This window comes from Homo sapiens, chromosome 2 (genome assembly GCF_000001405.40).
Source record: "Homo sapiens chromosome 2, GRCh38.p14 Primary Assembly".
NCBI lineage: Eukaryota > Metazoa > Chordata > Mammalia > Primates > Hominidae > Homo > Homo sapiens.
The window spans coordinates 43,828,791-43,841,068 of NC_000002.12; the positions used below are offsets into that span (position 1 = coordinate 43,828,791).

Genomic DNA, 12,278 nt, shown 5'->3' on the forward strand with positions numbered 1-12,278 from the left:
CCCTGTCTGTTCTAAAAATACAGAAATGAGCTGGGAGTGGTGGCAGGCACTGGTAATCCCAGCTACTCGGAGGCTAAGGCAGGAGAATTGCTTGAACCCGGGAGGCCAAGGTTGCAGTGAGGCAAGATGGCACCACTGCACTCCAACCTGGGTGACAGAGCGAGACTCCGATTCAAAAAAAATAATAATAAATAAATAAACAAATAAAATAAAATAAGATTCCCTAGAACACAAACTGCTTACACTTGCTTCAGGAAAATTAACCAGGAAACAACAGATACTTCATTAAACTCCTATTTGCAGGAGCCATAGTCACTGCAGCCCATACAGAAAAATCCCCCAAATTCATGATTACAATATCGCTTACTTTCATAAGTGTTTGGGTTTTGAAATTTTATTATCATAAATGCTTTATGTGTTTACAAAAATCCAACCTGATTTGAACTAAACCTGTTTCCCACTGTATAACCCAAATAAGTGCTGGGGTCCCATGTGGTACAATCTCAGTGTGAGTCCACATCAAAGACATATAATCCAGCCTTCAGAAGTAATTAAAAATAATTCCAATCTTTACTTGAATTTCTTTAAGGACTTTAATGGGGACCCAATTTATAACCCCCAGCCACATTTAAAATTCCCTTTCTTCCAATTCTCTTCGCTGTACTTAAAGCCTGTAACTCCCTGAAACCGTTTTTCCTCCTCATTCTCAACTCTCCCAAAACAATAACGACTAAAAAAAATTCTTTACTGAATTTCTAATCAAGAAGCTTGGCTTTTTTCCTCCCTCACTGTCTTTCCTTCCTCAGCTTATCTCCTCTCCAGAGACCTGTTCACAAATCTGTTTCTGTCCCCCTGTACTGATTACCTCTAACTGCAGAAACCCCAGGGGGAAAGCAGAAAGAGACAGAAGATACTCATATGGTAATAAGTTTTGTTTCCAGACACCCCTAATAAGGCCGTGTTATGAAAATGGAAACAAAACCATTGCATTAAAAAACAATAAGCTAGATTGCAGAAGAAGAGGGAATGACTTGTGGACCAACATTCAAGAGGAGTCAGGGAGTGGGGTTGACGGCATAGATGTAGCTTTGACCCACCCAAAGAATGGACATATCTGAAATAGGTACAAAGGAATAATGAGAAGGTAAAAATGCATAAATAAACTAGATATAGATATATTCTGGAACAAAAGAAAGCTCTTCTCTTGCCATCAGGGTAGAAGGATCCTAGAATTAAGCTTTGCTTGACACAGTGAGATTTCTGTGCTGACCAGCCAGGGTAGATTCCCGAGCCTCCTTCTCATCTCTGTAACATCATAAGGAGTAAGCTTGCCCCTCCTGGCTTGGAAGAGATGGACAGAGAAGACATTTACTTAATTTGTCTCAGAGGTTTCACACCCCAGCAGGAATGCTCTCCCACATTTTGGAAACAAATTTTGGAAATGGAATTCAGAGTCCCTGGAAGGACTATTGGGATGAGCAAGTCCAACCCTCCATGCTCTGTGCTTTCACGTAATCTGATGTATTCTTCACATCAAACCCAGGAGAAATGCATTCTTATTGTATTTTTTATAGAGGAGAAAACAAAGTTCCATAACTTGCCCAAGATAATGCCATTAGCAAATGGCAGGGCCAGGATTGAGAGGACTCTCTGGGCTCTCTGAAGTGGTCCAGGAAGCCTGAGCCTTAGCCAACAGCCCCGCAGACATAGCCTGCTCACATTGGCCTTGCTTTATTTCCAGGTTCTTCCAAGGACAGAAGCAGATCTGCCATGCTATCTCCTTTATTATCATCAGCACTTCCTTCCCACTGAATTACTTATCAGGATTTTACACGCTGTGGGCTGGATTTGCTCAGAAATGACTCTCAATTGGAGAGAACTCTGCTATCGGGAGTTCTCCTGCTCCCAGGGAGCTGTGCCCCTTGAAGGAGGCATGTCCACCTGTCATTGGTTCCCTGGGTGCTTGTGGGCCTTCCCAGTCTAGAGAGAAATGAAGCAGTTTCCAGGTAAGGTCCCCGGTGGGTTTACCTGTGGCTACTTCCAAACTGGAGACAATTAAGAAAGAGATTGGAACCTAGAAGGAGTTGACAATTCAATCATTTCTTCCTTCATTAACTCAGTCCAGTTTGGATGAGGCACATTCAAGATGCCTCCAAGCAAGCTGAGAAAAATCAGTGGCAAAAATAACTATGTCTGTTCAAACAGGGAACTTGTAGAACAGCATGGTCCCAGAGAAGGGTAATGCAAGCCACAGACAGAAGTGAAATTTTAGTAGCCAAATTTTGAAAAGTAAAAAGAAACAGGTGAAATTAATTTTAATAACATATTATTTACAGCCAAAAATACCATTTCAACCTGTAATCAATACTTTTTGAAATTTATTTATTTATTTGGTTGGGAGAGACAGAGTCTCTTTTTGTCCTTCAGGCTGGAGTGCAATGGTGCAATCATGGCTCGCTGCAGCCTCGACCTCCTGGGTTCAAGAGATCCTCCTGCCTCAGCCTCCTTAGCAGCTGGGAGTGCAGGCGCACATCACCACGTCCAACTAATTTTTGTATTTTTTATAGAGACTGAGTCTCGCTATGTTGCCCAGGCTGGTCTCAAACTTCTAGACTCAAGCAATCCTCCCATCTTGGCCTTCCAAAGTGCTGGGATTACAGGTATGAGCCACCCTGCCCGACCTAAAAATTCTTAATGGGCTTTTTCACGTTCTGTTTTCCTCAGACTAAGAGTCTGAAATTTGATGTGTATTTTGCGCTCAGAGCACGTTTCAGTCTGGACTAGTGACATTTCAAGTCTCCAAAGGCACATGTGACTAGGGGCAGCACAGGGTGCACGGTGCAGGACGCAGGGCGCGCTCTAGAGTGAAGGAGTGACGAGCAAAGGGAAGGAATGGGCAAGCGTAGGCGAAGAGAGGAGGGCAGCGGGGGGTGCAAAGGTACTCAGTTTGCCCTCTGTGAGCGGGGGGCTGCACCCACCTTCTTCTGGAAGGAGCCGGGATTGCCGCGGCGGATGGCCAGCAGCGCGGTGTAGTGCAGCGTCTCGCGCACGGTGAGGCTGCTCAGCAGGGTGTCGCTCTGCAGGAGACTCGGGCGTCAGTGTAGCCTAAGCCCCCGGGGCGGGCGGGGGGGCCAGGGGTGTGGGGGACGCGCCCACCTGCAGGACGTAGGAGAAGCAGTCCTGGAACTGCTCCCGGCGCAGCGCCCGGCCGTTCACATACACCTCCCCCAGGAAGGTCCCCGCGCGCCCCAGCCTCCCGGACATGGCGTCCAGCAGCGTGGTTTTCCCGGAGCCTGCGGGGCGACAACAGAAGGCCCTAGAGGAACCACTCTGTGCCGGCCTTGGAGGAGCTTCCCGAGACCCTCTGTGCAGGCATGACCCCGCGGGCCATGAGTGCTACATGACGGACCCTGTTCTAGGTGTTAAGGACACAGCAGGATACAGGCCCTGCCCTATGGAACGCGCACTGTGCGTGCAGCAGTCTCACGCGCAAGTGAGTCTCTGGATTGTCCCCTGAGTGAGAGGGGACATGCCATTTCTCTCATCTGGGTCAAGACCGAACGTGCTTTCTCTGCTTGTTTATTTGTCTTTAAAACTGTTTTGGATTGAAAAACAAAATACTTATAGGTATCAGAATAAGAGGAAAGCCAAGACTCTTGGAAACGTTTGGATCCTAGGACGGATTTCTTTTTGTGCCCCCCTGGGGTGGTCTGGTTGTACCTGGATGTAGGTGACATTGTCTAGAGCCTTGCTCACAAAGCAAGCAGCATCAGCAACCCCTGAGAGCTTGCCAGAAATGCAGAGCCTCAAGCCGCACCCAAGACCTGCTGAGTCAGCTCTGCTTCAGTCGAGTTTGAGAAGCACTGGCTTGGTAAGTCCTTTGGTAAGACCAAGTTGGCCACAGCCTGCACTAGAGCCTGGGGCATAGCCTAGCTGGATGTCACTAGGAAGTTCCCACAGAGGGGTTGTGGTGAACTAACTGCCTGCTGGAGGTGACTGGGGGATGATGCTTCCCTTGGTTTGCTTTTTTCTTGAGTGAGACTGAGTGTCACTCTGTCACCCAGGCTGGAGTGCAGTGGCACAATCTCAGCACACTGCAACCTCCGCCTCTCAGGTTCAAGCCATTCTCCTGCCTCAGCCTCCTGAGTAGCTGGGATTACAGGCATGCACCACTACACCCGGCTAATTTTCGTATTTTTAGTAGAGATGAGGTTTCACCATGTTGGCCAGGCTGGTCTCGACCTCCTGACCTCAGGTGATCCTCCCGCCTCAGCCTCCCAAAGTGCTGGGATTACAGGCGTGAGCCACTGCTTTTTTCTAAGGTTAAAGGTTAGGTGATGCCTTTAGGACAAGAACCTGATGGCCCCTCAGTCATATTGGACACAAGTTTACCATAGGCCCAGAGTTCATGGAGACAGAATAGACCTCCCAGGCCTTTCCTATCCAAGGAGGCTGAGAAGTTGGGACTCATAACAGAGAAATAGGCAGGAAGTTCTGAACTATCTGGGAAGATAGCAAGAGAAATCTACTGATGAGATGGCTTGTGCAGAGCCAAAGAGATCTTTTGTTGAAATATTATTATTATTATTATTATTATTATTATTATTATTGAGACGAAGTATCGCTCTGTTGCCCAGGCTGGAGTGCAGTGGCGCAGTCTCGGCTCACTGCAACCTCCACCTCCCAGGTTCATGCCATTATCCTGCCTCAGCTTCCTGAGTAGCTGGGACTGCAGGCGCCGGCCACCATGCCCAACTAATTTTTTTTGTATTTTTAGTAGAGATGGGGTTTCACTGCATTAGCCAGGATGGTCACAATCTCCTGACCTCGTGATCTGCCCGCCTCAACCTCCCAAAGTGCTGGGATTACAGGCGTGAGCCACCGGGCCCAGCCCTTTATTTATTTATTTATTGAGATGGAGTCTCACTCTATTGCCCAGGCTGGAGTACAGTGGCAAGATCTCAGCTCACTGCAACCGCTGTCTCCCAGGTTCAAACAATTATCTTGCCTCAGTCTCCCGAATAGCTGGAATTACAGGCGTGTGCCACCACACCTGGCTAATTTTTGTATTTTTGTAGAGACGGGGTTTCACCACGTTGGCCAGGCTGGTCTTGAACTCCTGACCACAGGTGATCCGCCCGCCTCGGCCTCCCAAGGTGCTGGGATTACAGGTGTGAGCGACCGCACCTGGCCCTTGTTGAAATATTTTAAAGAAACTTGCTTGTTGCTGTGAGAGGTACAAAGATGAATCAACTCCCTTAGCAGTTGTCTTCTTTTCTAATGCATCATTGACAAAACTCAGAAATAGCCCCTGCGTGTTCAGGAGGTGGACAGAGTGGGGAAAGAGAGGAAAACCCATTATAAAGAAACAAAATGTGACTTCATTGGGATTGTCTTTCAAAATGTGCCCTGTAATTTCCCAGTCGTGTGGTTCTTCTAACCAGAGCCATCCTGGCTTTACATTTTTTGGATCCAATCTGAACTCTGGCAGAAGCTGCAAATATCCTGCAGCCTGGGTCCCAGCCCCACCACTTCATCAAAACTGGCCTCCCCAGGGATATTAAAGCCACTTTATTGTTGCCAAATCCAGTGTATACTTCTCTGGGAGGGATCCCAAGACAGGACTACCCAACCAAGTCACTTCCAGAGTTCTGATCCATAGACATTCTGAGAGATCATGAATGGTGTTGTTTTAAGCCACTAAATTTTGGGATACTTTTTTTTTTATAATAATGAATTTAGTTTTTTAAAAAAATGTGTCAAGTATTTGTTAACTCATTAATGAGGGAACCAGCAAGATGACAAAGCTCATTCAAAAGAGGATATGAGAGGCTGGGCGTGGTGGCTCATGCCTGTAATCCCAGCACTTTGGGAGGCCAAGGCGGATGGATCATAAGGTTAATGCCCTAAAGGGCGATAAAACTATGACATTTGCAACTAAATAATCTGCAAAGAAGCATCTAACCCAGAGTCTACGCCCTCCTCAACAGCAAATAACAATTCAAATAAGTTGGAGTTCCCCTGGAGTTGGATGGCTCTGTGCAGGCTTGCTTTAGACTATACTCTAGTGAGACTTTGAACGTATATGTCATCATCTTTTGCCTCGCTAATGAAGATTTGATAGATAATACTGCTTGAGATAAGACACCAATGAAATTGTCATTTTATGCAATACTATGGAGTAATTCATAAAATTATTTTACTCCTTTATTCAACAAATATTTATTAAGCACCCACTACGTGACCGACCCTGTTCTAGGTGATAAGGATACAGTAGAATACAGTCCCTGCCCTTGTAGAACTTGCAGCCCACTGTGGATTCATTTCAGTATAAAGTGTAGGCATTGTCCCAAAGCCGTAATTAGGCATCTCATCAGAAATCAGCCCACTCCCCCACCCCAATCAAGAGCCCCTCCTGCTGTCCTGCTGTATGTGCATGAAACACAACATTGGCCTTTGGGGTGCACTTCTGAGCATTGGCCTTTGGGGTGCACTTCTGAGATGGGGGGTTCCATTTCTTGTTGTTCTTAGAAGTGGGACACACTTCTGAGAAGGGTGCTAAATGCCACCTTGTTTACTTCTTTATAAGGACTGCAACAGGTGAAAATTTGTTAAAGGAGAAGAGGCAGTTTTTTTTCTTTTTAAAGAAGCACACTGTATTTATCAAAAGGAAGCTGAGAATGACCCTGGATGTTACGGTACATGTGTATAGCTAGATGTTGGTTAAAAATGGAAATAAGAACTGACAAAGTCTTTGAAAAGTGTAACAGCTTTAGTCAGTGCTATAGTCTCAATGTTTATGTCTCCCTAAAATTCATATGTTGAAATCTTCACACCCAAGATTATGATATTACGAGGTGGGGCATGCAAGGAGGTGATATTGGGAGATGATTAGGTTATGGAGAGCTCTTACAATTCAGATGAATGCCTCAGAGACCCCTCCCCACTTCTGCCATGCAAGGTTAGGGTGAGAAAATGGCTGTCTAGGAGGAAGTCTCCCTCACCAGACACTGAATCTGTTGACCCCCTTGATCTCGGACTTCCCAGCCCCTAGAACTGTGAGAAAAAAATTTCTGCTTTTTATAAGCCACCCAGTCTATGGTATTTTGTTGTAGCAGCCTGAGTGGACTGAGACAGTCTGGGAATTCCTCTTCTTTTTTTTTTTTAAGATGGAGTCTCACTGCTGCCCAGGCTAGAGTGCAGTGGCACAATCTTGGCTCACTACAACCTCCACCTCCCAGGTTCAAGGGATTCTCCTGCCTCAGCCTCCCGAGTAGCTGGGATTACAGGCACCTGCCACCAGGCCTGGCTAATTTTTTTTTTGCATTTTTAGTAGAGACGGGTTTTGCCATGTTAGCCAGGCTGGTCTCGAATTCCTGACCTCAAGTGATCCGCCCGCCTCTGCCTCCCAAAGTGCTGGGATTACAAGCATGAGCCACCGTGCCCGGCCTGGGAATTCCTCTTAACAACACTACTGTTGGCATCTGGTTGTGCACCTGCTGTAGCAGGTGAATAGCCATGGATTCAATTCCCTGAGTCTAAGGAGGCTGACCATGCCTACATTTGGTCATAGACTTCAATGGAGTCCCCATCTCCATTGAAGAGAATAACACAAGTAGAGAGTGGCAGTGAATGTCAACAATTTGCAAGCAATAGCTCAATCAAGAGGCTTCTGTGGAGCCAATTTGTCAGAAGCTTTTAACCTTAAAATGTAGATGGTAATCCAGTGTAGCAGACACTGTGGTGTGCCACACAGAACCCCTCTTCAGGGCCAATGCAGCCATCCCCCAGCTGCTGAGAACGTCAGCTGCAGAAGATTCACCACAGGGACCCTCCCAGGGAATTGCCCTCGGCCACAAGGAGCTGTCTCACCAAAGGCTAGACTCTCTGGGGCAATGACTGGCTGATGCAGGGGCACAAACACCGACTGTAGGCTCAAATGCAGCTACCCTGGGAAAGAGGAGGAGAAGGATGATGTGGAGAACGGGCAGTGGATGACCTCAGTGCAATTTGTAATGTTTAATTCCTTAAAAAAGAAAAAGAGTCTGGGAAACATAGCAAGAACGCTGTCTCTACAAAAAAAGATAAAAATAAAAATAAATTAGCCGGACATGGTGGTGTGCACCTGTAGTCCCAGCTGAGGTGGGAGGATCACTTGAGCTCAGGAGGTTAAGGATGCAGTGAGCCAAGATCGCACCACTGCACTCCAGCCTAAGTGACAGAGTGAGACTCTGTCTCAAAAAAGAAAAAAAAAGAAAAGAAAAACGACCAGATAAGATCTGATAAGGCCCGATGTTAATACATGAACTTTTAAATATTATTCTCCAGTCTTTTTTTTTTTTTTTTTGAGACAGGGTCTTGCTCTGTTGCCCAGGCTAGAGTGCAGTGGCACTATCTCAGCTCACTGAAGTCTTAATCTCCTGGGCTCAAGCAATCCTCCCACCTCAGCCTCCCAAGTAGCTGGGACCGCAGACATGCACCACCATGCCTGGCTAACTTTTGTATGTTTTTGTAGAGATGGGGTCCCACTATGTTGCTTAGGTTGCTCTCGAACTCCTGGGCTCAAGCAATCCTCTCACCTCAGCCTCTCAAGCTGCTGGGATTACAGTCATAAGCCACTGTGACCAGCCTATTCTCTATTCTTGATTGTATGTCCAAAATATACCATCATAAAAAAGCACCACTGGAATCAAAGATAGGGGCTTAATGGGCATTTTTGTGCTTATTTAATCCTTTTCCTGTCTCTAGGCAGTGTACAGATAGGGGAAATTGTGTTTCCTGAGTACTTTTATATGCCATGGAACTGTGGGGGCTTTTTATATTTTGAAATATGAATTCACGTACATGTTAGGCAGAATTTTATACTCTTTCAAGGATCTTTCTAAAGATTTCACATTGGTAGCAGTTCCATTCACAGTCAGATATCAATAGAATTCATTCTAATATCAAACCTGTGGCTTTCTTGTTACAACTTAATCTGTTTCTTCAATGTGGAGTTTAACTCAAGCCAAATCCTTTTTAGAATCCTCCTTCCCAAGCTTACCTGAGCTTCCTAGGATGCACATGATCTGCCCGCTCTCCACGTACAAGGAGACATCTTTGAGGATCTGCCTGGTCCACTGCTGCCGGCAAGATGTGATGTCCCACCAGGGCCTCACGCGGTGGCTTTAAAGGAAACCCCAGGAAGGCAAAGGCAGCTTGGGGCCCTGGAAGGGGCCACACCCAGGTCCCCAGCATTGATCCTACCTGTGCCCCACCCCAGTAGTCTCCGGACAGGCTCCTAACGTGTTTCAGTCTCTGCGCCCTCCTCTGTAGAACCTGGCAGATAGCGACTGAGGCTGTCTGCCACGTAGGGAGGGGGCCTGTGCTGGAGTTGCTCTGAATGTCCTGTCCGTTTGGCTGCGAGGTGGCTGTCCCTGCATTCTTTCACCAGGTTTCAAGACTCCTTGCATTCGCAGTACCCCCATTCCCATCCACAGAGGGCAGGCCGTAGACACTGGGTTGGCAGGGCACTGCTGCCACTTTGTTTATGCCCAGGCCCTTCCCTGGGCAGGGGGAGGGGCCATTCACTGTCGCTCCATGTTTCCCAGCACAGCCCTTCTCCCTCTCCTCTCTCCACCCGATCCACTAAAGAGGGAGCCCGAAGTGCCCAGACTGGCACTTAAAGAGTGAAGAAAGGCAGCAGAGGGGTGAGCGCCGGGCCCCGCACTCCTGGGGGAGCAGCAGCAGCAAGGGCTCTGCCTTACCTGACGCTGTAGGAGGCATGGAGGATGCCCAGGCTGTGAGGCTCCGGGGCGGTGGCAGGAGCCCCCTCCAGGGAGCTCTGGGAGCCTCTGTTTACTTGGAGACCCATGGACCCTCCGGGGGTCAAAGATGAGAGGTCACCCATGGCCAACAGGCAGCAAAGCTGGGCAAATTTTCTGGTGGCCGGACCCTCCCCAGAGTGGCTTCAGTTGGGGAGCCCGTGGCAGACTGCCCTGCCTGCTCCACCTGACCCCGGAGTCCCTTGGGACAGCAGGACTGGGACTTGGCCACGGAGACCATTATCTGATGTACCTTTAGCCAGCGCGTCCTTATCTTGACAGTGGGCAGAACACACACGTTTGTAGGTGGGCTTGCCAGCAAGGAATGCTGGGAGAGACGGGCCCAGGGCAGGAGGCCGAGGTGTCCCTGCTCCAGGAAACAGAGTGAAGACACTGGCCCTGGCAGGCAGCAGCTGGGTCTAAGAGAGCTGCAGCCCAGGGTCACAGACCTGTGGGCCCCATGGCCGGGAAGGCGGCAGAGGAGAGAGGGCTGCCGAAAGGGGCCACTCCCCAGGATACCTCGGTGAGTGAGCAATGGGAAGTCGGCCCAGGCCTGGTGGGCGGGTAGGAGAAATCAAACCTTTCTCTCTTCCCTCAGGAGCCTTCTGTCCTAGCACCACCCGGACATCAAGCAGTGTGAGGACATGGCCGCAGGACTGTTTCCTGCATGTCAAAGGGCGGAGGGGAACAGATTCAGGGTCCCAGAGGCCTCTGAGGTCACTTCCTGCCCTAAGAAATGCTCTTTTAGGGAAATGATGTTCTTTTGTGTGATGTGGGACAATTTCACTTTTTCTTTTTTCTTTTCTTCTCTTTTTTTTTTTTTTTTTTTTTTTTTTTTTTTTTTTTTTTTTGAGACGGAGTCTCGCTCTGTTGCCCAGGCTGGAGTGCAGTGGCGTGATCTCGGCTCACTGCAAGCTCTGCCTCCTAGGTTCAAGTGATTCTCCTGCCTCAGCCTCCCAAGTAGCTGAGATTACAGGCACCTGCCACCACACCTGGCAAATTTTGTATTTTTTAGTAGAGACAGTGTTTCACCATGTTGGTCAGGCTCAAACTCCTGACCTCAGGTTACCCACCCTCCTCGGCCTCCCAAAGTGCTGGGATTACAGGCATGAGCCACCGTGCCTGGCCAGTTTCGCTTTTTCCGAATGAGACTCCATCATAGAAATGTGCTCACACATGCCAGGGACTCCACTGGTGTCTCCTCCATCCATGTGGCTGTCAGGTTGGTCTCAGTAATGAAGTGATGGGTGAGACAGGGTGACAGACGGCTTTTGTGGGAACATCAGCATGTGTGGCTCTAACAGGCAATCGTAAGTTCTGCGAGAAAGCTGGAAGGAGTAGAAGCAGCCAGGTGGCAGGAGGTGGAGGTATGTTTCCTTCCTCATTTTACCTGAGAAGTGTTTACTCAAGAAATAGCCTTTGACTGAATTCGGGATGTGGCAGGATTTGAAGCAGGAGGCTAAACTGGAAGACAAGCGAGAAGCAGATCCCCACTCCCACCACCTCACCCCATCCTACCTTTCCATCTTTGCCTGTTGTGGGTAGGAGGGAGGAGAGAAAGACAAGCATGATCGAGGATTCCACACCCAATGGGGAAAACAACCTGGACTGGCCTTGAGTTTCCAGGACTTGACTCGGCCAGACCCAAGGAGCCCACCATTTCTAGTCAGTTCTGCAACCACCACATCTGACCAGCTCTGCTCTCTGAATACCCTGTGGGGCCCACCACTTCGGGAAATGTTTAAAGCCTGAATAGAATAGAAAGTCAGCGGGACTTTGGGAACACTTCCTGCCTGGGAGGGCTGACGATTCAGCCACCACAGCTTGAGAGGCAAAGAAATGCTAGGACCACACCAGAAATGCACGCAGGCCCTGCCATTTCTGCTTCCCTTCTGTCCGATCCTGTCACTCCAGGTGCTGAGTGACGGTCTGCCCGTAACACCTGTGGGTCTTGGAACAAGAGGATGAGGGTCACATTTCCTATGTCTAGATATATAAAAGTCATCAGTCAAGCTATAAGAACAGTTAAATAAAATAGTTTCTATCCTCTTATCTTGACATATCTTCCTCACAACCTGAAAGGCCATGTGTAAATTGAGAAATTCTAAGGCAACTTGGCTAGAATGCGCTGGTACGGGGGAGCCACTTCCAGCCCGAGCCACAACCTGTCCCCCTTTTCTGGCCCCCTCAGCTCCATCCCACTCCATGGGGCCCTCAACACCCTGGATGGTCACCCTCCTGCCTACCTGCATTGCAGCCCTGCCCTGCACAGACATATACTTCTCTGGCCTAAAAGTCCTCAGGAGGTTGGGCCTGGGAAGAGGTGTACAGACCCTGGGGATGGACTTGGGGCCATTTGCACAGAGAATATCTGGCATCTTGGGCACCTGGAGTGGCAAGTGCCCTTAACCCACAAACTCCTCATGCCATGGGCAGGAGCAGCAACAGAGAAGGACAAGAGAAACCCTGGCAGCA

At 48.5% G+C, this 12,278-nt stretch overlaps 2 protein-coding genes across 13 annotated transcripts in view; one reads left to right on the forward strand and one right to left on the reverse strand.

Annotated features, from left to right (window-relative positions):
- The window catches only part of ABCG5 (ATP binding cassette subfamily G member 5), a 33,021-nt gene extending 22,580 nt beyond the window's left edge, over positions 1 to 10,441 (reverse strand). For 6 of the 11 annotated variants that reach the window (XM_006712073.4, XM_011533026.3, XM_011533024.3 and 3 more), the window contains exons 1-4: positions 9,747 to 10,049; positions 9,044 to 9,165; positions 3,157 to 3,293; positions 2,979 to 3,077 (exon numbers count right to left, since the gene is read on the reverse strand). In XM_006712073.4, the coding sequence (XP_006712136.1) occupies positions 2,979 to 3,077; positions 3,157 to 3,293; positions 9,044 to 9,165; positions 9,747 to 9,889 (501 nt within the window). In that variant the 5' untranslated portion in view covers positions 9,890 to 10,049. The other 5 variants (XM_047445410.1, XM_047445411.1, XM_047445409.1 and 2 more) reach the window with 4 other exon arrangements.
- ABCG8 (ATP binding cassette subfamily G member 8) overlaps positions 10,181 to 12,278 on the forward strand; it is a 44,018-nt gene continuing 41,920 nt past the window's right edge. For both annotated transcript variants that reach the window (NM_022437.3, NM_001357321.2), the window contains exon 1: positions 10,181 to 10,326. In NM_022437.3, coding sequence (NP_071882.1) covers positions 10,264 to 10,326 — 63 coding nt within the window. In that variant the 5' untranslated portion in view covers positions 10,181 to 10,263. The remainder of the gene's footprint in view (positions 10,327 to 12,278) is intronic.